Source organism: Homo sapiens, chromosome 5, assembly GCF_000001405.40.
Source record: "Homo sapiens chromosome 5, GRCh38.p14 Primary Assembly".
NCBI classification, from domain to species: domain Eukaryota; kingdom Metazoa; phylum Chordata; class Mammalia; order Primates; family Hominidae; genus Homo; species Homo sapiens.
The window spans coordinates 131,423,921-131,449,227 of NC_000005.10; the positions used below are offsets into that span (position 1 = coordinate 131,423,921).

At 37.7% G+C, this 25,307-nt stretch overlaps 1 protein-coding gene across 5 annotated transcripts in view; it reads right to left on the bottom strand.

The window, feature by feature from the left end:
• The window catches only part of RAPGEF6 (Rap guanine nucleotide exchange factor 6), a 211,309-nt gene continuing 186,002 nt past the window's right edge, over window positions 1-25,307 (bottom strand). For 2 of the 5 annotated variants that reach the window (NM_016340.6, NM_001164386.2), the window contains 7 exons: window positions 22,563-22,783; window positions 18,429-18,617; window positions 15,661-15,795; window positions 9,510-9,738; window positions 6,939-7,429; window positions 4,982-5,296; window positions 1-3,371 (listed from right to left, as the gene is read on the bottom strand). In NM_016340.6, the coding sequence (NP_057424.3) occupies window positions 3,346-3,371; window positions 4,982-5,296; window positions 6,939-7,429; window positions 9,510-9,738; window positions 15,661-15,795; window positions 18,429-18,617; window positions 22,563-22,783 (1,606 nt within the window). In that variant the 3' untranslated portion in view covers window positions 1-3,345. Of the gene's footprint in view, window positions 3,372-4,981; window positions 5,297-6,938; window positions 7,430-9,509; window positions 9,739-11,840; window positions 12,462-15,660; window positions 15,796-18,428; window positions 18,618-22,562; window positions 22,784-25,307 lie in introns of those variants that run through there. The other 3 variants (NM_001164388.2, NM_001164387.2, NM_001164389.2) reach the window with 2 other exon arrangements.

Below are 25,307 nucleotides of genomic sequence, written 5' to 3' on the forward strand. Positions count from 1 at the left end.
TTAATGTAGATTCTTTATTGATTCCACCAATGTATTAGTAGATATGATAATAATAAATGGTATTTTTACATTCTCTTAACCAAAAATATAACAAATATTTACACTCAGTAAAAATACAAAAAGCATACAGAGGCACTGTCTTTCTAAAAGACATAAGTTTAAGAGGTATCAAAAAATAGGAGACAAACATTGCTTGTTACAGGATACCTTACAATCAATGAATTGTGCAGTAGAATTGCTATCTGATTATTACAGATGTGCAGTTTTGTTTCTGTCTTTTGCTGATTAGCTTACATGTCTCAATTTTAAAAGATCAAGTTCAACTGCATTCTGTGTATCAAAAATAAAGAAGCATTAAAAATGCACAACAAAAGTCAAAGATGAACCAGGATTCAAGTTTAAATTTGAACATGTACTGTGACACTTTTGACACTTTTCTGAAGATTTATCCCGTTTTTCTAGCCTTTAAGGTAATGCTGAAGGAATACATATACTTTAATATCACCTTTTTTAGAAACTTAAAATTGAATCAAAATAATCAGTTTTAAGGAAGCTTTTTCTCCTCCTTCCTTTTTTGTAGAGGAAAGAACACTTGATAAAAATTAGATTTGTTCTTAAAAACACCCATGATTACCATCACATTTTCAGCCTGGGAGAGATTCTCAAGGAGGTGATATAGATCGCAATGATGTGATTTATCACCCTCAAGAAAATTCACTAAAGGCTTTTTCTCCCCAAAGATCATATTGAAAGTAATCATTTGGAGTAAATTAGAATTATTAACTTTAATAAGCTTTTATGGAATCATGTACTGGATTTACTAATTCTCAAAATCTTTCACTATAAAGATATTTTGTTGAAACTTACTATTTGGCAAAAGTTTGCACTGAGCGTTAACTGCTTCAACAGTCTTGGCAGATTGAGAGTTGTGGCAGGAAGAGAGGGCACTAGTCTCTTCATTAAGATTATAAATTTATAAAACAAAAACAAATGGAGATCTGGAATTGGAGTAAATGCAGCTTAAGACTTCTCTTGTTCTAGTCATATGACAAACTAAGAGAAGGCAGGAATGTACCCTTAGTTAAAATATAAAAATCAAAACCTCATGATTTTTTAAGGGATACATACATAACAAACTACAAAGCATTTGGCTTTGGCTCCTGATCAATGTGATCAGCTGATCTGAACACTCACAGTTAAAGCTAGATAGATAAAACAAAGGCAGCTGTAAGGTGCAAGTCCAAAACCATAGGCCTCAACACTCTGTGCAAGATATTTACACTATTAAGGACAAAGACAGGTAAGGCTTCCATTTGGTTTGAAAGACCTGCTAAATAAAGACATTATGAAAACAGCACATTTTTCTGGGGAAATGAATATAAAATGGTGAGAGTAGACATCTGAATTTGATAAAAAAAGTGGGTATAGCAAAAATATATTTCACATTGTTTTGCTGTGGCCATGAAAACAAAATTATGCAAATCAGTGAAGGAAAAAATGTATAATCATAGGACCACTGTTTATAGGCCAAATCACTGAAGTGTAACTTTCAAACTAGGATTTTTGGTTCAGGTTATTTCCCATTTCAAAGGACCAAGAAAGCTATGGAACCACCAAGCCTCATTCTATCATACCTGCGATTAATTTCTAAGGCTTAAGTTTCAGATTAATGTTTCTTTACCACAGGAATTTTTGAAATGCTATTATTCCTAAAATAAAGAGACAATCATGTTGATGGGAAAGATGAACTACTACCATTTACCACTTACAACTGATTCATGATTTTAAAATGAAGGGGGATATGCAGGAAGACAGACAGCAGAGACAGCTAGGGAAAGACAACACATTTCTATAAAGGAGGCCACAAACCAACTAAATCCTATGTGGACACATACGGACAGCCATTCAGAAGTAAACCCCTTTTGGCTCCAAGTTGATCTGGGTAGTGCACGTTAATGGCTTTGGCTTTTTTTTTTTTTTTTTTTTTGGTAATTACAGAAGTTTATTAAAATTTCACTTGCTTTTACATTAAAAAAACTGAAAAAATTAAACTTAATATATATAAAATATATTTAATTTGCAAAAATGTGAAAAATCTGCCTCATCCAGTAAACAGTCACTGAAATTTTAATTAAGAGTGCCATACCCATGAGGCTGGAAAAGTATGTCCTCTCAAGGGCTAAAAACTGAGAACCAAGAGACAATCATTTCTGTAACTCCAGCTCCTCTTTCTCCCACAAAATGTTACTGCAGCCAGCTGAGAGCTGCAGGGTATGTCAGGTCAGACACAACCTGGTGCTATGAGATGTGGGGGAGGCATGCTGCAGAACACTGCATAAAGTCAAATTCGTCTTCATTATTACAACACCCATGATAAGAATTTCTTTAAAAAAAGTATTCCATACTTGAGTTATGAGAGATTTTAGTTTTGGGTTTCTATAGACCAGAACTCTCTAGAACCCAGTCTCTATTTGTTGGATCTATACTTTCAGTTACAATTCGATGCAGCATAACTTTCACTTAAGGAAGAATTTGTATACATGTCATTTAACATCAAAATTTCATTCTGTGGAAATTAGGGTTCCCACCCTCCTCCCCAAACTACTCCCTCCCATTTCCCAAAGGACTGACAAGAAACCCTGTGGCAGCTTCATTTGGCCTTCCACACCATGACCAGCAGGTTCCTAACACCTCAACTGCAAAGGGCTTCCTATTTCTCTCAAACTGAGACCTACATTGCATTGGTGCTACAGATCAAGTCACATCTCTGTGTAGATCAAGCATATCACCTCTGTAAAGATGACTTCTGTTTGGTCAGACCAGAGACAATTTTATGACCTCAAACATGAATATCAGCTAACAAGAGCTCTCAAATACAAACAAAACCACAACAATTCAAATAATAAGTTATTTTTCAAATATACAAGAATATCCTTGGTATTGGCAGACAATTTCAATTTGTCCTTCAGCCCAAGCTATGGCTTGGAAATAATAATGCCATTATCTTTAAAATAGCTTGTTAAAGAAAAATCTATAGCAATATACACAAGGATCACTCTGAGTTTACATTTTTTCTGTAACTGTGGTCCCAAGGCAGTTCCGGCGTGCAAAGTGGAGACTGGTATCCAGGCATAGCATCCATTGCTCAGGAAACTATTTATCTGCAGAAATTAAATGAAAGGAAGCATAACTCAGGTCTATTTCATTGCTCGGAGTAGAGGGAATAAAACCTCTGGACTGGTTGTAGCAATGAGCTGTTCGTTAGCAATGGCCTGCAGAATCATGAGGTGGTTCTTGCCCATTCCTCCACGACTTTCAGTGGTTTTCAAATAGGTCATCCAAAGGCTAGACTGCTGAAACTTGTTCATTTTCTGAAAATAAAAAATATATAATTAACTGGCAGATCAGCATATTAATGAGATCCTAATAATCTAGTTATCTATTTAGAAAATCAATGTCAACAAAGAAATCCTCTCAAACATTGCATCGAGGCCCAGATTTTATTATAATAATACCTATGATTTCTGATCACATTGAAGGTTGACAATAAACTGGAATTTCATGGTTTTTAATCATTTTATTACTCTTGTTTAAAAGCATAAATTTTCATTTATTTTCAATAAAACAATCATTTCTCAAACTATTGGCACAGGTACAAAGTCAGTCAAGACTTTTGCTAATAAAAGGAACTATATCAATAGAATCATTTCAGATAATTTGGCATTTGAAACACAGTTTCAAGTTTCCATGCATTAAGGTAAAATACAATTCCATTAATGTTAAAAGTATCCCATTAGATTGAGCCACTGTTTCATCAAAGATAAGAATATTCCATTTGAGCCACAGGGTACTAGGCACACAGAAATAGGCAGCTTGCCCATTTCATTTAAAAAATACACCATCAGTGCGGGGTACAGTGGCTCACACCCATAACCCCAACTTTGTGGGAGACTGAGGCTGGCAGATTGCTTGAGTCCAGGAGTTCAAGACCAGCCTGGGCAACATGGTAAAATGCTGTCTCAAATACAAAAAATTAGCTGGGTGTGGTGGTGTGTGCCTGTAGTCCCACCTACTTGGGAGGCTGAGGAGGGAGAATTACCTGAGACCAGGAAGTTGAGGCTGCAGTGAGCCACGATCATGCCACTGCACTCCAGCCTGAGTGACACAGCAAGACCTTGTCTCAACAAACAAACAACCCACACCATTGGCTGGGTGTGGTGGCTCACACCTATAATCCCAACACTTTCGGAGGCTGGGGTGGGAGGACTGCTTCAGGCCAGGAGTTCAAAACCAGCCTGGTCAATATAGTGAGACCCTGTCTCTACAAAGGAAAAATTTAACAATGAGCCAGGCATGCTGGTGTGCACCTGTAGTCCCAGCTACTTGGGAGGCTGAGTTGGGAGGACTGCTTGAGCCCAGGAGTCTGAGGCTGTAGTGAGTCATTATTGTGCCACTGCACTCTAAGCTTGGGCAACAGAGTTAGACCCTATCTTGAAAAATAAAACAAAACCAAAACACTCCCCCATACTATATTTAGGAACTTTTTTTTTTTTTTTGGAGACAGAGTTTTGTTCTTGTTGTCCAGGCTGGAGTGCAATGGTGCGATCTTGGCTCACTGCAATCTCTGCCTCCCAGGTTCAAGCAATTCTCCTGCCTCAGCCTCCCGAGTAGCTGGGATTACAGGCATGCGCCATAATGCCTGGCTGATTTTGTATTTTTTTAGTAGAGACGGGGTTTCTCCATGTTGGACAGGCTGGTCAGGAACTCCCGACCTCAGGTGATTCGCCCGCCTCAGCCTCCCAAAGTGCTGGGATTACAGGTGTGAGCCACTGCACCCTGCCGGCAGGAACTTCTTACTTTTTAACAGAGATTCAAGGCATTTAAAGAAACAATTACTAATTACCATAAAATACCAAAGTAAAGACCATTTAATGTGTTCAGCAATTCATTTAAGAGCCTTTAAGAGAGCTTGTCAACATACCATCTGCTTCGCTATCTGCATCAGTCACATCTCCTAGTTTAGGATGGAATGGCTGCAAATTATGCCTCTGAGGCTGAGTTACAATCTTCGATGGAACACAGGCCACGAGGTTGCTACTGAGAGAAGCTGGTGGCAGTCTAGAGAGGCTGTTATGCATCATCTTTGACCTCTGCACTGCCACACTATAATCTGGAGGTTTTAGGTGTGTGTGGGGTCCTTCCTTTAGGTCCGCTAAAGAAATCCCCAAATATCCTGGAGGAGTGGGAGGTGGCTCCCTATACCTATCGTCCTTCTTGGGTGAGGTGACACAGTACACTGGCATGAAAAATAAGCAATGAAAATGTTAATGAAAAAGAAATGGAAAAAAAAAGAAACCACCCCACAAACTTATTACAATGACAAAATACAACTTAAAAATAGACAAAATGAATAAACTTGAATGATGGCAGATCAAAAACATTTTTTAAAAGTTTAATAAACAAACCTCTTTTTAAAATACATAAACAACTATATTAAGTCCTGTAAACATTAAATAGAACGAGAGAGTTGAAGGAGATGACACTGATGACAAGCTTCCTTCTGCAATTCAGCCCCCATATCACAGAAGTACATGACAACTCCTGAAGTCACACCAGCCCTAAAGATATCAGAAACATTTAAAAGTTCACCCTACACACCGATTCTCTGTAAACTGGGAGACTTTACATAGAAATGACATTTGGGCCATCTGTTTAAGGGCTGTTTCACCTTCTCTCTGAGACATGAACCAATGTTTTCTGGCACTCCTGGGCAGATTAGTTCTCAGTCCTAGCATATAAACTTTAACTTTGCTGGTACGGAGGAACTAATTCCTTCAAGAACTTTACTTCTGGCCAGGTGCGGTGGTTCACGCCTGTAATCCCAGCACTTTGGAGGCCGAAGTGGGTGGATCACCTGAGGTGAGAAGTTTGAGACCAGCCTGGCCAACATGAAGCCCCATCTCTACTAAAAATAAAAAAATTAGCTGGGCATGGTGGCAGGCACCTGTAATCCCAGCTACTTGGGAGGCTGAGAGAGGAGAATTGCTTGAACCTGGCAGGCGAAGGTTGCAGTGAGCCGAGGTCATGCCACTGCACTCCAGCCTGGGCAATACAGCAAGAGTCCATCTCAAAAAAAAAAAAAAAAGTTGGAAAAAAATGAATGAGCTAAAAACCCAACCTATAATGCAATTTGACAAGTAACTATAAAATCAGCACATTTCACCTTCACATTTTTAGTAGTTAAATGCGACACCATGACTGTTGCATAAATTTAACAGTTGATTATGATATTAATTCAAAGTAGAGTCATTCCATATAAGTAGAAAAGCAGTTTTATATCCACGTATTTATATAGTTTAGGAAAGAAATTTTTAAAAAGTATTTGATGGCCAAATACTAAAAAAAAAAGTTTACTAAGAAAGCTTGGAATGGAATTCACAAACAGGAGTTGGCACACTCATGATGTACACCAAGAGAGTATACTGAAAAATGTTCTGGACTTCCTGATTGCATTTTCTCTCACTGTTACGACCTAAAATCAATAGCAGATTCAATGTTTCTACCACGTATGCATACCAATTGTGGTCCAAACAATTTATGAGGTGATAAAGAGAATAATCCCTTTACTACTATTGCACACTAATGCGATGATATTCCTCAATAAAACCAAAAAGAACTTAAAAACAAAAGACAAACAAACTTGTCCCTCTAATTAAATACCTTCACATCAGACTTTTCATTTTAATGGGGTTGAATAGCTGCTCCAAAGTCTTTGAGAAACCATGAATTTTTGGGAAATAACTTGTTTGTTTGTGAAGGAAAGAAAGGTTGTTAGAGAATGAATTTTTGCGACGATAAAATCCAGGGCCAAGATATCCCAATGCCATTTTTTGACTACTTAATCTCTAAATGCCACAGACAACAAAAACACAACTTACCAATCAAGCCCTTTTCTGTACTTGAAGTGACAGTTTTATAAACTGGGTCAGTGGCATCCTTGGGGTCCAAGCCTTCAGATGACTCAGCTGGGGTGCTCTCCAATACTCTCTGTTTAACTGTCCCATAGTTTGGTTCATACGTGTCAGACAGAGAACTGGAGGAGGTCCAACTCTTTCTCTCTAGGCTTCCTTTACACTGCCCACAAGTTCTAGAGCAGCTTTTAGAACAGGAATAGGGCTCAGAGTCAGTGGGTTCAACTTCAGCAATGGGGTCATCCAAATGGGTATGTCTGTAAGAGTTCAAAAAATCCCAGCTTTTTGGGTTTGGAAGGCTTTGGAAGTTGTCATGGGAGCTGCTTGAACACGAAGTCCAACTTCCACGACCACTGTCAGCTGCTTCTATAATGATATGCTCTTGAGAAATCTCTTCATTGCTCACAGACGATGAGACAGCTAAACACTTGATTAGAGATGGCTTCAAGAGTGTCCACCTAAAATTGGAGATAACGTACAATTAGAAGGCTTGCCAGAAAAACTATCTTCTCTCTGTTTCAAGTTATTATTGCCTGTGAGAAACTACAGAGCACGTACCACAAGTGTTCATGCCAAATAACATCGTGAGGAAAACAATATTATCATCATTCATCACTATATTCCTTGTAAGTATTTAGTTAACACTCAGAAGACACAGTAAAGAAACTCTAATGCTTAGCAAAATTTCCTTAGAATTTTTCTTTTTAAATTTTAAAATGTTAGATATTTTTTTTTTTTTCGAGACAGGGTGTCACTCTGTTGCCCAGACCAGAGTGCAGTGGTTATTTACAGGCACGATCATGATGCACTGCAGCTTTTAACTCCTGGGCTCAAGTGATCCTCCCGCCTCAGCCTCCCCAGCAGCTGGGATGGACCAGAGGTATGCCTGGCAAGTATTTTTCTTGAACTGATTTTAAATGAAAATGTAAAGATGAGAGTTGAAATGAATAAGGTTAAGTATACATATTCATTTTTGGTCATCACAATATTAGACTACTGCGTCCATGCATACAGAATTAAGAGTTCCCAACTTGAAGAATCATGTTTTATTTTTCAACGTACCTCTGAGGTTAGCCCAGTACAGTGCCAAGTAAACAGCAACTTCCCCAATTACCCATGAAATGAATAATTTATAGCAGGGGTCCCCAAACTAAAGCTCATGGGCCAAATTTAGCCAACAGCCTATTTTTGTATGGTCTGGAGCAAAGAATAGTTCTGTTTTTTAACCTTTTAAAAGGTTAAAAAAGAAAAGAAAACAAAACCAAACCAGAAGAATTTGTGACAGAGACTATATGTAGATTGCAGAGGCGAAAATATTTACTACCCAGCCCTTCACAAAAAAAAGTTTGTAAACCCCTCATTTACAGTATAGTGCAGGGGGTAGCAAACTACAGCCCAGGGCCAAATCTGGTGGTCTCTTTGCTCGTTTTTGTAAATAAAGTTTTGGCTGGGCGTGGTGGCTCACGCCTGTAATCCCAGCACTTTGGGAGGCCGAGGCGGGCGGATCACGAGGTCAGGAGATCGAGACCATCCTGGCTAACATGGTGAAACCCTGTCTCTACTAAAAATACAAAAAATTAGCCGGGCGTGGTGGTGGGCGCCTGTAGTCCCAGCTACTCGGGAGGCTGAGGCAGGAGAACAGCGTGAACCCAGGAGGCGGAGCTTGCAGTGAGCCGAGATCGCGCCAGTGCACTCCAGCCTGGGCAACAAGAGTGACACTCTGTCTCACAGAGCGAGACTCCGCCTTAAAAAAAAAAAAAAGTTTTACTGGGACACAGTCATGCCATTTGTTTATGTGTTGTCTATGGCTATTCTGGTGTAATAGCAGAGTAGTTGTGACAGAGGCCTTATGGCCTGTGAAGTCTAAAATGTTTACTATGTAACTTTTATAGAAAACATTTGCTGACCTCTGGTGTAGAGATCCTAGTTTAGAAATCTTTATAAATGTGGTAATAATTTATCTTAAATTTTTCATATTAAAGTAGACCAGATTTCACAATATTTATCAGTTAGAATAAACTTTCTCAAAGATTTCCACGTTGCTTGATTCTAAATAGAAATTTAGAGTTGATTTTTTTTTTTAATTAACCTTTGCTAGGTGATTATTCTTACTCCCCAAATTACACTTTCAGAGGACAGAGATCAAGGGCTAGTCCTACTCTCCCAACCTGTCTACAATGTGCACAGCACTCGAGGCACTTTCCAAAACACAACCTTTTTGATTAACCTATAGCCAGAATTTCAAAAATTATCTCCCCTATATAAGTAGCAGATGCACTTTGAGTTCTGACTGGAAAGATACATAATGATAAAAAGTTACTTGAATTTAGTAACACTTTAAAAATGAACACCCATACATCTTTCAACATAGTGCTTATTTACATATTCAGAATAGAGAATATGTGCTTGGCCCACATATTCTTTTATGGATAACTCTGCAATTACCCCATGGGAGGTCCAAGGTCAAGGTGGGGAGCACTCCTTGCAGTGGCCACTTGGCTTGGGTTTTGTGTTATGAACACAGACAATGATGCTTACCCAGGGCCATGTTGACTATGATCTCCTATCCCTGAAGCGTGCTCTGTCTTTTCCAATGCCCCAGTGGATTCAGGGACTGCCAGGGCCTGAGAGGAACACCGTTCATCCTGTAGAGCTGCAGACATGGAGTCAACAGAACAATTGCTCACGATGCTGGACCGTGAAGAAATCTCACTATGGCTGGAGTCAGACAAGTTGTCAGATTTAGCTGATGGAATAAGTGTGTAACCTGAACAAGAAAAGAGCACTGATCAAACTACAAAAAAAGGGAACATATGGTGGGGGTAGTAGGGGAAAGGATGAAAAAAAAAAACCCCACAAAAATAACAGAAGACAAAGTAGAAGCAATTTTAGTTTCCATCTATGTAGATATAATGGTGCCAATTTTCTCCACACATTCCCCTACATAACCATTTGCCTACTATCCACACCACACCAATACAACTACACATTCAAGAAAAAGACAGTCAAAGTCCAGTGTTACTCAGAAAACTAGTTTAAAGGTATATCTTTCTCAGGCTCTCCCACAGCTATAATCATTTAATAAAATAAGAAGATTACAAATATTAATAAGTACATGTCTTTAGGGTTTCTCAACTTCTTTTTAACCCAACGCTCCTTCCTTTGATTAATATGAATATTTCTTGACCTGATCTGAATCCCAAATACCATCTTGAAGTAAGGGTAGGGGTGGGAGTCCAGGACTCAAGGGAAAGAACTACATTTTTGCTTTATCAAACTATATATACTTACCCCATATATTCTGCATATCCCACCTAAGAAGTCTTGTCTTGAGTTGAGAGTCACTGTTTTAGATTATTTTTATTTTTTAGACACAGGGTCCTGCTCTGTTGCCAGGCTATAGTGCAATGGCACGATCATAGCTCACTGCAGCTTCGAACTCCTGGGCTCAAGTGGTCCTCTTGCCTCAGCCCCAAGTAGCTGGGACTACGGTCTGCACCACCACACCCAGTTATTTTTAAACTTTTTGCAGAAATGAGGTCTCATTATGTTGCCGAGGCTGGTCTTCAACTCCTGGCCTCAAGCGATCCTCCCGCCTCAGCCTACCAAATTGCTGGGATTACAGGTATGAGCCACCATGCCCAGCCTGTTTCAGTTTTTTAAATTGTTTTAGGTTTAAACTTAGTGTCATACTTAGTTTCCTTTTTCTTCACCAACCTTGCAGAATATTAAACAGCTGAGTGGATACATGTTTAATAATGTGTTATAGAAAAAAACAGCATCTACATGTTCTATGTTGTTCTGTGACTTACTGCACAGCAGACAACTAGAGAGATGTTCTTCTGTATTCTAGGGACGCACTGAGGTGAAGGACCCAAAAACAAATCTGCAACAGAATGGCTAATGTACATAATAATCTATTTTGATAACTGGAAGAAACCAAATTTTTGTTTAGAAATAAAAGAAAAAGAAAATGCCCTAGTAATCCCAACAAGGGACGGGTCTCAAAGAAGTAAAAAATATCTTCTTGCTCACAGAGGAAAGTAGGGTTTAGTAGATATGTGACCTTTGGACCAATACCTAGAAATGTCATTAGGAAGAATTACAGGCTTTGGGTATGTTACTGGAATTCTCAGGGCCTCATCTTCATGCAGAAAGAGGATGACAACATCCTTAGTTCCAAGTCTTTCTCTGTTTATGGATCTTGGAGTTATTCACATATAACTCAAGTCATTTAAGGAATAATTTGTTGCACAGTAATCTTATTAAGTCGTTTCGTTAACTATTTCAAAGAGAAAAAGGCCTAGAAAATGTGTGATTTATATTTGGCCTACGTGGACAGGAACAGGGTAAGCCAAGACAAGCCAGTCTTCTGACGTCTATCATACATCTCTGAACTTGGGATCACTGCTATTTGTCAATGTCCATGAGCTGATTAGTCAATTTTTAAGAGGACCAAGAAAGTGGATGTAATAAGTAAATTAAAAATAAATAAAAACCTTCTTCTTGAAAAGAAAAAGTCATTGCTCTACACAATAATCTTGCTTCATTGTTTAAAAAATAATTTCATTCTTATGTCTATTTGATCAGTATTTCTCAAATATAATAATACTAAGAACCACCTGGCAAGCCAATTAAAATAAACATTCCAGATCCCATTTCTGGCAATTCAAGTTTATGAAGTCTGGGGTGGGACACAGTAATTGCATTTTTTAACAAGTTTCCCAGATGATTCTGATATTGCTATGTTAGACTAGTCCCTTCTCCCCCAATCAAAGATACGTAAAAAGTAGAAGATAAAAAAGCCTCCTCTACATATTTCACTCACAGATCCAGCTAACAGTAGGAAATAAAGTCAACTACAGAAAACAAGAGTATAAAATTTACTAACTCAATACATCAGTAAAATAACTTATGTACAAATGAGGCATTTTCAAGTGTTTATAAATAGTATTTTACTAAGTTGTCTGCCTAAGCTTTGACAAATGGTTTAATTTAAGCCATGTATACATTAATAACTGAAAACAAACTTAACACTAAAATTAAATAAGGAACTTCATCAGAGTGTCTTCCTCCTTTTAGACTTGAATCGCGTATAGAAGCAGTTTAAAGTGTTACTGTTGCCTTGGCTATTTGAATTGAAGATGGCACTCCCTTTCTCATCTTTGATGTTGCTTCCAACATCCTTCACTTTCTCACAGCTTTCTGTAGCTTGATTGTGATCTGTGTCCTCTTTTTGGCTGTTGACTAGTCTCTCCCTTGAAAGCATTCTTTCCCTAAGTCTTCTAAACGGGGATGTCATTCTTTTTCTGGTTGTGTTCTCACAACTTGTCCTGTCTCTATTCTCCTCAGTGGCCTTCTCAGTACTGTCTGTTCTTTTGGCTGTGCTCCTGGTAATCTGAAGGATTTTCTTTTGCAAGTAAGCCCCACCTATTCCGGGGCAGCTCTGGCCACTGATCTTGCTGCTGTGATCAGATATGATACTGCCAACTGGAGGGAGAGATGCAAAAACCCTGACATGGTCAATCACAATTAGCCTTGTTTACATAATATTTCACTATTTAAAAATTCTAACATCTTGATAATATCTGAAAAATTGAAATCTAGCAACATATTTTTTAATGCATGGAAAAAAATCTACTTATATATAAAACATATACACATCAGTTATTGCAAGACAGAATGCAGGAGAAAGATTACCTTTATCAGCACAAGCTGGTGATAAAAATAAAAACAAAAACAAAAACAAAAAAACTGTTGAAAGGAAGCCAAGCTGGTAAAATCATAAGGAAAAATATGACAAAAATATCAGGTAACTAGAATTATTTCTGTAAAGTAACTATGTAGGTCTAGAATTGTAAGGTAGATTTTACTATGAAGAAGCTTAGTAAAAACCAAATAAGACATATAAATAGTACATACAATAGGTATATTTATAACGTTCATTTTCTGATCCTGTTGTAGATCCAAGGTGGAGAGTGCTTTTCTTAAACACTAGGGTAGATAATGTTTAAGGTCTTTTGACTTCTTTTTTAAAGTTCTTGTTTAAACTATCCTCATGCAAAACATGAAGACAGGTTTATTTTCTTAATCATAAGAAAACAAAGAACAGATCTCCAAGTTTAATAAGAACCAGGAACAGATCCTAATAATTTACTCTGAGCATAATGACAGTTTTGTTCAATCATAGGTTACTGGCAAAAACCTGTCTACAAAAATAGAAGGATCATACTTGGTTGGGGTTTTGATAGTACACATGCAAGAACAAGCTGAAACAGTTTTGAAGAGAAGAATTTCTTCAGGCTTCTAAGAATTCTAAACATTACTACGAGAAGCTCACAAACCTATAAACATGGTGTTCAATTGTTGGCTACAATTTTCTCACAAAGGGAGAAAATACTTCTCTATTCGAGTGTTGAGTGTAGATTTTGTTGGGAATAAGAGCAATGGAGGAATTCCTGTTTCTAATACCACTTTCCAGAAGTCACATTCAGGCATAAAATACCAAATCAGCTATAATGGGATGGACCACTGAGCAGCCTCTAACAGGGGTAAGGAGTGTAAAGGTGTTCCTGAACGAGCATTAGGAGCATATGGATACTGTTCATTTGGACCATCTGTCTGACTGGAGGCACTGCGGCTTATCCTACATCGCAAGATCTGGTAAGGGGCGCATTGGATAGGACCATACAGACAAGGAAAGTGATGACATAGGTCTGTGTGCCACACAAAATTACATATGAGCTACAACAGGATCAAAATCTGTGTTTTATAAATACACCTACTATACAAACTGTTTTTATCTCCTGTTTCATTTTTATTAAGCTTTCTTTAGTAAAATCTGAATGAAAAAAATCTAACCAGTCTCAGCTATGTGAGGATGAAAAAAGCAAGTGAGTAATGGAGCTATGGTGTCCTGAGGTGGCCGCAGAGAAAGAAAAGAGACATTCCAATTCACTAAACACTTACCACACATGAGGCTTTATAAATATTATTTCATTTAAACCACATAAGAGGCTGTTAAAATAGATGGTCTTTTTCTTTTCCTCTTTTTTTTTTGAGATGGAGTTTTGCTCTTGTCACCCAGGTTAGGCAACAATTCTGCATCCAATTCTTTCTTCGTTTCCATAGCCACCAAACTAGTTGGGGTGCAATAGCATGATCTTGGCTCACTGCAACCTCCGCCTCCTTGGTTCAAGTGATTCTCCTGCCTCGGCCTCCTGAGTAGCTGGGACTACAGGCATGTGCCACTACCCCTGGCTAATTTTTTTGTATTTTTAATAGAGATGGGTTTCACCATCTTGGCCAGGCTAGTGTTGAACTCCTGACCTCAGGCGATCCGCCTGCTTTGGCCTAGATGGTCTTTTTCCCATCTTACAGAGAGGAAACCTGACCGTATAAATAAATTACTTGTAGTAACACAGCTACAGTGGAGGACAGAATCACGGTTCAAACTCAGGTCTGACATCACTGTACATAATTGCCACATAGGTGGCAAAAATAAGAAAGAGCTCTGCAGAGTGAGATGAAACTTAGAGCCTGGAAGCTGAAGCAAGCTCTGGAAGCTTCTCTCTCCTGTTAGAATTATTATAATAAGCTTGTCTTCCCTCTGACCATGTACCATCCTCTGGTGTGATTATTTAAATATGTAATTCTTTTACATCTGTGAAGAAGATGCCAGGACTAAATCCCCTTTCTTTCCAGGGTACACACAGAGTGTGAAGGGTCAATATAAGAAATACACACCATATTTAGAATGCTACATGTGCAGCTAACATGAAATGGCATCTGCTGCACACTGCCCAGGCTAGCCAAGAAAAGAAATGCTCCAGTCTGAATTATGAAAACACGTAAATGAACAAGAATTTCAGTTTTTTACCTCATGAGATTCTGTATAAGTAAAAAATCCACAAGAGTACAGGTTATTTTAAATCCTAATTTTAAAAAAGGTAATACTCTGTTACTAAAAAAGGAAAAGCATATTTGTTTTCCTAATTTTTGTTTTCCTAAATCTTATAGTTGGTTAAAAACAGTTTCTTTCTTTTTTTTGAGACAGGGTCTTGCTGTGTTGCCCAGGTTGAAGTACAGTGGCATGATCACAGCTCACTGCAACCTCTGCCTCCCAGGCTCAAGCGATCCTCTCACCTCAGTCTCCCGGGTAGCTGGGACTACAGGCACACCACCATGCCTAAGTTTTAAATTGTTTGTAGAGTTGGGGTCTCATCATGTTGCCCTGGCTGGTCTCCAACTCCTGGGCTCAAGTGATCCACCCGCCTCAGCTTCCCAAAATGCTGGTATTATAAGCATGAGCCACTGTGCCTGGCCTAAAAAGAATCTCTTACAGAAACTTTTACTTGTAAACACTTCATAGAAATGTCCAAATATAGGAAACTGGAATGATAACACCAAGAATTTGCACCAAAACTATGGCTTCTGCCTTTATTCTTATCCATGCTTGCTGTCTGTTGAAGTTTAGGACCACACTTTGAATACTGGAGTCCTAGTTACATGACACATAATATCTAAAAAGCATCTGAATAATGCAATACAAAACATCAAAGTTCAAAAAGCATTAGGAGTTATGCTTTTCTTAATGATTTATAATTATTGCTATAGATTGAAAAGCAAAATATGTGCTATAAAGTATTGTTTAGTTTAACAAGAACTAGTTTGAAATGTTTTGTCTTACCTTTGTGAGGGGAGCCTTGAGGAGATGCAGGAGGACTAGAATGTAAAGATGACGCCACAGAAATAGTGTCTTCTGTATGCTTCTTACCACTTATTTCTTCAGTTGTTCCTAAAACTTTCTGAGGTAAACTTGTATCTAAAAATAAAACCAAAGATGCAAATAAGCATCGTTTCACAATTAAAATGTCTATAGTTGCCTAAATCACTACATAACTAACACTATGATGCACAATGGCTAGTGTAGTCAACTGAAATGTGTAAATGACAAACAGGGACTAAATGACTGGGTAATGGCATACAGAGATTCTCACCTCTAGGTTATTCATTCAAATTCAGCTGGTCAGCATGGACCAGATTATATTAGTTTGTCTGCACTTTGTGGTATAAGGGAAATCAATTTAACAGTCTGAGTGCTATGCCCCACCTCCCACAATTGACACAGTGATTTGAAATCTTCAAAAAGAAGGCATGGATTCAAACTCTTCCCTCCCCTCTAGAGGTGGCCTCTCCAAGTCGGGGCGACGCATGTGGCAGGGGCAGTGTGGGGATGTTGGCACTGTCACTACCTGTGGTGCATCTGTGCTGTGGGTATACGGGAAGAGGCTGCAGGGCTGCCAGTCCAGCCCTTTTCAAGAGCACTAAATTCACACTACAGGAGAGAAGTAAACAACAGAAAAAATCATGAATGTATAGAAAAATAGTATGCAGCACAGTGGAACGATTCCTTACAGTCCTATCATTACCCTTGTCCAATGTCTGGTCTGTTTAGTGTACCTCAAACTTAGCAATGCTTTCAATATATTGACGTTTTTACATTCATCTTCTCTAAGAAATGTCAGAGAGCTATAGACACTGTTCTTAAAACATAAAGTAAGTGGCCAGGTATGGTGGCTCACGCCTGTAATCCCAGCACTTTGGGAGGCTGAGGTGGGTGGATCACCTGAAGTCAGGAGTTCGAGACCAGCCTGGCCACCATGGTGAAACCCCATCTCTACTAAAAATACAAAAACTAGCCAGGTGTGGTGGCATGCACCTGTAATCCCAGCTACTCAGGAGGCTGAGGCATAAGAATTGCTTGAACCTGGGAAACGGAGGTTTCAGTGAGCCAAGATCGCACCACTGCACTCCAGCCTGGGCGACAGAGGGAGACTCTGTCTCAAAAAAAAAAAAAAAAAAAAAAAAGAAAGAAAGGAAGCTACATAGTATAAGTAATGCTTCCTCTCAAGTGGTGATATTCAAGTAAAAAAACCAGAGCTAACTTTGTCCCTCTCTCACTCCTACCAACAAATTTATCAACTTCACCAATTCTGCACCCAATTCTCTCTTCATTTCCATAGCCACCAAACTAGTCCAGGCCCTGGGCAACTTCCAGTTAACTGTTAGACCAGCTTTCCATCTGAGCTCTCTATCTCCAGTCCTGCTGTGATCCTCACTACAGTCCTTCTCAAACATAATTTGAACCGTAACCTTCTCTTGTTCAAATCTCTTCAATGGCTTCTCAATGTTAACTTTTTCCTTTGGCATGGCACATTGTAATTTCAGCATACCTGTCTTCATTCTCTGCATCTTGGAAGCTGTTTAGTACAGTGGTTAAAGGCAAAGATTTAAAGCCAGTCAGCCTTCCTTTAGCCTCTATGCTTCCTTTGTAGAATGAGGGTAAAATACCACTTATCTTGTGGCATTACTATGAAGACTGATATATAAAATTAGTAAAGCACAATTTGAACCATGCCTGGCACCAGTAAGTGCTCTCCAAGTGTCAGCTTTAATTATTATTGTCTGTCAACACTGCATGCAATTTCCACTCAGCGTCAGCAAAGTGCTTGTAGTTTCTTGCACATACCAAGCTGTTTCCTCAGCCTGAAGCAACTTCTCTGGAACTTTTGCCTAATTATCTTCTTCGTCACCAATCTTTTAGGCTGCTTAGATGTTATTTCCAAAAAGCCTTCTTCTGAAGCCCTATCTTACCTCTGTCTAAGTTAAAAGCTCTTGTTTTGTTCTTTTATATGTTCTGCATATACCCCTGGCATAAGAAGAAGACACATTATATTGAAGTTACCTGTGTGAGTGTCTACATCACCAGACTGAAAATCTGGTCAAGGAGGGGGAATTTCTTATTCAACTTTGTATCTCAAACAATAACAAATTAAATGAACAAAGTTCTACTAAACATATACTACATATAATGTACAGCCTAAGTAATCATGCTAGGAACCAAATCTAATCTAGGTTCTCATCTAAAAGGCTAAAATAGTGATACTGTCAAAACAACAAATAAAAGTAATATGAATAATGACTATATGGCCTAACAGAAAAAAAAAGTGTGGTCTATATTTTATAAAAGTTATATTCTCTTGTTTCCCAACCACGTTTTCAGAAGGGGTCTTTAAAGACAAAAAACAACGTATAGTCATTTTTGGAATAAGCAACTTCATTTCCACAGTTTTTGTAGGTTGCATCTGTATTGGATATTTCATTAAATACACCTCTGAATGCAGTAAGCCCTTGGTACCCAAAATGTATTGCTGTAAATTTTCTATTGATCGACAGATTTCAGTATTATAGGAAATTCAATGTTGGCATTTAAAACACGTATGCTGTCAGCAAACATCTATAGGCAAAATGAAATCAACATTTTTGATTCATAAAGTGACGATTATATTACACAACCTACAACAGCTTATCTCCTGAACATCTGTAATTATTTTTCACTCTAACTCCCCTGGAAATTTCAGGTAAACGGATGTAATATTAATGGTGAATACTCACTCAGTGCAGGGTCTTTTGTTTGTCCCTTCTTCCTGATGGGGTGCAAATTAACAGCTGGCACCTGAAGCACCTGGCTTACTCTGTGGGGTTGATGCAAGTGGGCTTTAGTTGTTTGGCCAGCTGACCTCATAGGCACTGGAGACATTTCAGATGATTTGGCTGATCTTTTCTCACTTAAATTCTTGGTCACTAACAGGAGAGAGTAAGAAATAAGTAACTGCACGTTTTTAGGCAAGGTTATCACCACTGGCAATAATAAATGGTTACTTTAAAACCATCTATTTTTAGCACAAAAGATAAAATAGATTAATTTTTCTTAGCAGGAATTTCAGTTAAGTACTATAAGATGTTATCTCTATTGTTTGGTGAGTCAGATAAAAAATGTTATCTCTAAAACTATTGTAGAATAAGTTGTTAATTTTATCTCCTAAATAAATCTTTTTATTTTTTATTTTTTGAGATGAAGTTTCGCTCTGTCGCCCGGGCTGAAGTGCAATGGTGCAATCTTGGCTTACTGCAACCTCCACCTCCCAGGTTCAATGGAGTCTACTCTCTCAGCCTCCTGAGTAGCTGGGATTACAGGCACCTGCCACAAAACCTGGCTTTTTTTTTTGTTTTTTTTAAGACAGAGCTTTGCTTTTGTTGCCCAGGCTGGAGTGCAATGGTGCAATCTTGGCTCCCAGGTTCAAGTGTTCAAGTGATTCTCCTGCCTCAGCCTCCCGAGTAGCTGGGATTACAGGCATGCACCACCATACCCAGCTAATTCTGTATTTTTAGTAGACAGGGGTTTCTCCATGTTGGTCAGTCTGGTCTCGAACTCCCGACCTCAGGTGATCCACCCACCTCAGCCTCCCAAAGTGCTGGGATTACAGGCGTGAGCCACTGCGCCTGGCCTATTTTTGTATTTTTAGTAGAGATGGAGTTTCACCACGTTGCCCAGGCTGGTCTCGAACTCTTGACCTCAGGTGATCCACATGCCCCAGCTACCCAAAGTGGTGTGATTACAGGTGTGAGCTACCTCATCCAGCCCTAAATAATTCTTGAATCCATGTTAATTAGCTCCATCATCACTCTGCTGAGGGTCAAGTTAACATTCTCTCACCTTTACTACTGAAATACTTTTCTCACTGTATCAATTCTAGCATGCCTTCAAGGCATTCTTCATAGAATAGAAGAGTGACTCTGCCAAAATGAGTATTTGATCATATCATTTCCCTTCTCCTTCTGCACAAACCTTAACTTGCCCCTGCTTTTAGAATGAAGACCCAAATCCTTAAAACAAGGCCTATATGACCCTGCATGATTTAGCATCAGCCTGCTCCCTTGACTTGACTTGCTTACCTTTCCTCTCACCAGTCCTATACTCTCATTAGGCTTTATCTTCTCTGTTCCTTTCATTAGGCTTTAACCTACTTGAGAGTAAGGACTATGCATTTTGTTCGTTATTACATCCTTATGTGCCAGTAACTGACTGAAAACAGATGCTTAATGGGTATTTGTTGAATAAATAAGTGAAATTATCTCAACAGCTGTAACACAAGAAAACCAGAGACAGTGCTTTTATAAATCCATAGGTTTTCTGAATATGAATGTGAGAATAAAAAACTGAGAACCCTTACTTATAAAAGCTGCCTCCTTCATATAAAACCAATACTATAGTCCAAGGGGAAGACATTCTTCCATCAGGGAGTACTTTTAATCCTTAGGTTATCCAGGGTGGTTTCAATGCAGGTGCAGCCTCAGTACTTCATGAAGTATTTGTTTTAAACATCAAGATAAAAGCAAAAATAGATGTCTAAACTGTCTCAACACAGCTATAATAGCTATTATGCTTTTATTAAGACAGACTAGACAATATTTGGGGTGATAAGAATCAGAGAATGTCTTAGAAAGTTCAAATACAGGGACCCCAAGAGAAAATTGCAATGGCTCACCAACTAATTGAATCCAAGAGGTTATCATCTTTGGTTAGAGCCATGAAATACTTTCATCCTTCTCTCATTGATTGGTAAATGCTAATCAATGACATCTTATTTTAATAATTGCTACAGTACAAAGAAAAAAACCTGAGACTACTTCAAAAATAAGTTTACAGATGAATGACAAAAACCACATATATTCTAATTAATTGGGAAGAATCAAATTCTATAATGCTCAGAAATCAACTATTGTTTGGGCTTCGGATAGTGACTATTTAAACATTTAAAAATCAATTATGCATTATAAAGATGCTCAAACCAAATTAAAGGAACATGCATTTAACTAAATGTTCAAATCCAGTTTAAGAAAGAAAGGCCTAAAGATTTTCTCATTTTATTAAATATGTAGCATGGGACATCATTTAGTGCTATGAGAAAAGACAGACACAAGTCTGGGGTGGGTGTAAGAAGAGGAAGCCATGAGGGTGTATATAAACTGTGTTTCATAACCATAAGATGATTAAGTCTACATCAAATTACCTGGGAAAAAATAACTTTGATGATGACTCAAAGCAGGGCCAGAAAGCTTTAATAAATATGTACATGGCTTTGAACTTTAAAGCATGAATAAATGTTAAAGGTTCTATATACTCTTTCAGCTTTTACCTTTAACATGTACCATTTAACATGTGGCAGCCAGAATGTAGAAAGCTCTCAATAACTGTTAGCTTTTAAAAATGTCTTTTTCCAAATTTAATAACTTCGACGTACAAAGAATCACAGAAATAAAATGTACTCCCAACCCTTGCCCAAGTTTTACATTTGAGAAAACAGGGACTAAAGATGAAGAAAACCTTACTCAAATGTAATAAATGAAACTCAAATTCTGCCTCTATCCTTTCGTAGGTATTCTTTCCATCATACTCCAAATCTTTTCTTATATGCAGAAGCATTCAAGATATTGTTTTGATTATAGCACTTATTAAAAGGCTCCTTACCCTTATTTAAAAATTGTCAAAACTGAATTTTTAAAAATCAGTATTTGGTTCTATTTCCACTTCCTGTTTTCTATTCTTTCTTTTGACATACTTTAAAAAATTACTATGCAAATACCATATCATTTATCAATCTTAGGGTCAATCCATGATGACTACTACCCCTTGTCAACTAGGAACTTTGAAATAAAATTCTATTTCAATTTTTATGGGCAAATTTAACTCACTCTCTGTGTGTGTGTGTGTGTGTGTGTGTATTTATTTTTTAGAGACTGAGTCTCACTTTGTAAATTTAACCCACTGCGTGTGTCTGTGTGTGCGCGCGTATTTATTTTTGAGAGACTGAGTCTCACTTTGTTGCCCAGGGTGGAGAGCACTGGCATGGTCCTAGCTCACTGCAGCTTCAAACTCTTGGGCTCAAGTGACCTGCCTGCCTCAGCCTCCCAAGTTGCTAGCACTACCACTTGGATAATTTTAATTTTTTTTTGTAGAGATGGGGTCTCTTTGAGTTGCCAAGGCTGGCCTCAAGTGATCCTCCTGCCTAGGTTTCTAGGTGTGACCCACCACGCCTGGCCTTAACCTACAATTTAAGATGTACAATTATTTTGTTATAACAGTATATATTTCATTATCTTTGATTTCTGCTCTTAGAATTCATAATTTCCTTGATCCAAATATATATGCATTCTCTTGCTTGTATTTAATTAAAAAAAATCCATATTGAGAACACGATCTTTTCCATCACATTTTCTAGAGATTACTAATATTGGAATGTGTCTGATTTTTTTTTGTTTTACCTTACTACTGGCACCTGTAAGCTACCTATTATCACTGGTGTTTTAATCAAATTTCTTATATTTTCTAGTTGGTAAATATTATCCATGAAATAAAAAGAGGTAAAAATTCCACTTATGTTTACTCTTTAGGGATGAATATAAAAATGTTCTCAAACAGAAAGCCTCCTCTATAATGATCCAGTTTTTAAAAGAATTAAAAAGCTTTTTAAAGATCTACTTATCCCTCTATTTTTTGGATAGTGTAGCCATCAGGAATGGATGGGATTCAGTCTGTGATTAATTGGATCACATGATGCTTAAGGTATGCCAGCAATCTTTTGTGAGTGAAAGTTAATTTTCTTGGGACTTAGGTATAATTCTAGAGAAATAAGTTTTTATTTTGTTGTGCTCTTTAGCGTCACATAAATGAAAACTTGTACTCACAGGTACCATATGCAGGCTCCCACTGTAATGACATCATCTGGAACTTCTCCTCATCTGTCTCTACATCGAGACTGGAAAGATACTGCTTCACCTTCCTTGCCATTTGGGCATCCTCATATAGCTTCTTGGCATTAAGCAGAGAGCTGCGGCGTGCCCTTTTTTTGTGAGCACCTCCCTGAACATCCAGCATGTTTGAATTTGTGCTTCCTTGACTCAGTGACCTATAAGAAGATGAAAATCACAATAAGGGGCTATAGAGATGAGAACTAAGCATAGCAGATTGAAGATTAAAAGATTTTGTTCTGTTAATGCTATTGCATGCTGATGTAAATGAGTTAAAAGATGAAGAGCATTAATGCAAAGTAATTTGGCACATATGGTGACGTTCTGAATTAAGAACAGGATTTGGCAAAGTACAGAATTCAAAAGAATAGGATAACAATGGCCCCCTGAGTGGCATATTCCATCAGGCCTGTGTTTGTGCCTATGCAACCTATGGCACAACAGTAACAAGAAAAAGCATTCCTCTGGTCCTGGAGGCCACCCACGCTTTGAAGATATGGCAAGAGTCTGGACCACGACAAGTCCATCCTCAGCCGAATCTCTGAACCAGGGTTCTTTAGCAATGAGGGTTCTAAAGTAGTTTTGCTTGTTGTTCTGCTTTGGACATGCTATTGCCACTACCATTATAGCAGGCCCACTGTGAGCATGTTAACCAATTTTACTAGTAACCATTATTTTGGCCAAAACTCAAACAGAACTACCAATAACACGTTAGCTGAAAATTTACAGCATTTATATGCAATTCAATACAGTCGGACATCAGAATGCAGTAAAAACTCAATGCTTCCCTCAAATATGGAATGGTTAGGCAATATTTGGGTTCTAGAACTGAGGATCTGGGACATCACTTTTGTAATGCCTGTGAATGTGACAGAATTGCAAGCTGGGTGGAAATAACCACAATTCAAACAAACTACAGCTTCACCCGACTCTACTCTTTTTGGCAAACATCCTACAACGACTGCACATCTAGAACCAATGGAAAACAGCAACTGCAATGATGTTTGTCCTTTCTAACAAGGCTAACAAATACAAAATTCTTATATAATTTTTATTTAGATGGTATTTTATTTTGCCATTCCAAAATAATAAGGTTATCTATGGATTTTCTAAATTAAGCTCCATTTTTATATAAAAGTATTCTAAATACAAAGACCACAGTGCTCATATATCTACTTTAAAATAGACACTAAAATCCTAATGCTTTCATTGTAAATTAAGTGAAATATAGTTGAAAAAGTGTTATGGCATTTTTTTCTTTCACATTTTAAGATCTTTCCAATAGGGGTATATCTTACACTGAATGGCAACTTTCAATTGCTATTGGCCAGGCAGAAACTATGACAAGACATTATTTACATCTGCAGAGACCTCAAAACTTGCAGAATGGCTTGAAAGAAAATCCAAAGCCATTAGTGAATTAGTCTTTTAACCTCCAGGGACCAAATGATTATAAGGAAGTAGTAAATCTGACAAGTTCAAGAACATTCCCAAAGCAAGTGACAAGAGAAAACTAATTCTAATTATTTCCAAAGCTAGCCTGAGAGCCCAGCACCAGCAGCTTTTGGTTCTTTTGTGGTTTTTCAAAGAAATGGTGCATTACCAACACACTGGATGGCACAGAGGGCAATACTGTATGGGGAAGGAGGGTTCTGGAAAACAAAATCCAGAAGCTAATGACTCTAAAAGAAAACGTTTCAGAAGATTCATATTTTGAATATAAAGAAATTTTAGGAAAACCTAAACCAATTTACTTTGCTTATATTTTCCTTTTTATGTGAATAAAAATATTGATTTTTAAAAATTCAGTTTTCACACTGTGATAAAAATCCATAGCCAAGTCCATAAGAGCTCCTTCAATAAGCATAAAGTAGAAATTCTCAGTGGTAACAGGATACTGCAGTGATTTTCCTTAGTAGTAGATAAAATAACAATATGTCCAACAATTGACGTTGTCTTGAATTCAAAGAAATGCAGTAAAATCAAGTTGCAGCTATTTAGGAGCAAATTTTAACACAAATATTTAATGATTTTTATCTTAGTTAATATAAAAAAGTAGGTGTTGACAAATCTAGGAGACACAAAATTCTAACAAATAAAAACACTGTGATAAACGTCGATAAAATGTTTTCTAAACTACTTTGAAAACAGAAAATTGCTGATATAAAATAAATATACCTAATGTTTGTAAGCATCATACAGTGTAACCCTAAAGCTGAATGAACGTGAAACATGTTAACATAAGTCATTCAAACACACCCAATGCCCACTAAAAGATATTGTCCAAGTATTCTTCTTTATAATAGTAATGCCAGGTATCAATTTCTATTTTCAGTGAGAAGAGCCAAAAGAGACCAAGACATAAATTTGCGATCCAGAAGAAAACACATGGGAAACACACAGAGAAGGGAGAAAGAAAATAGAAGGAAAGTCAAGTTCACCAAGCATTAACAGAAAATAAGACCACAAATGAGGCAAGACTCGAATAAAGAAGGTGGCTCACAAAAAATTCTTCTTACATGTAATAAAAGCTTCTAACTTCATGGTTCACTACAAGTCTTAAAATAACAAAATTCTTCTTATGCAATCCCTTCATCCACAAAAGTCATCTCTTTCTTCATCTAAAAATGAAAGGACTAGATAGATGATATATAAGATCTTTAACATTCTATGATTCTAAAT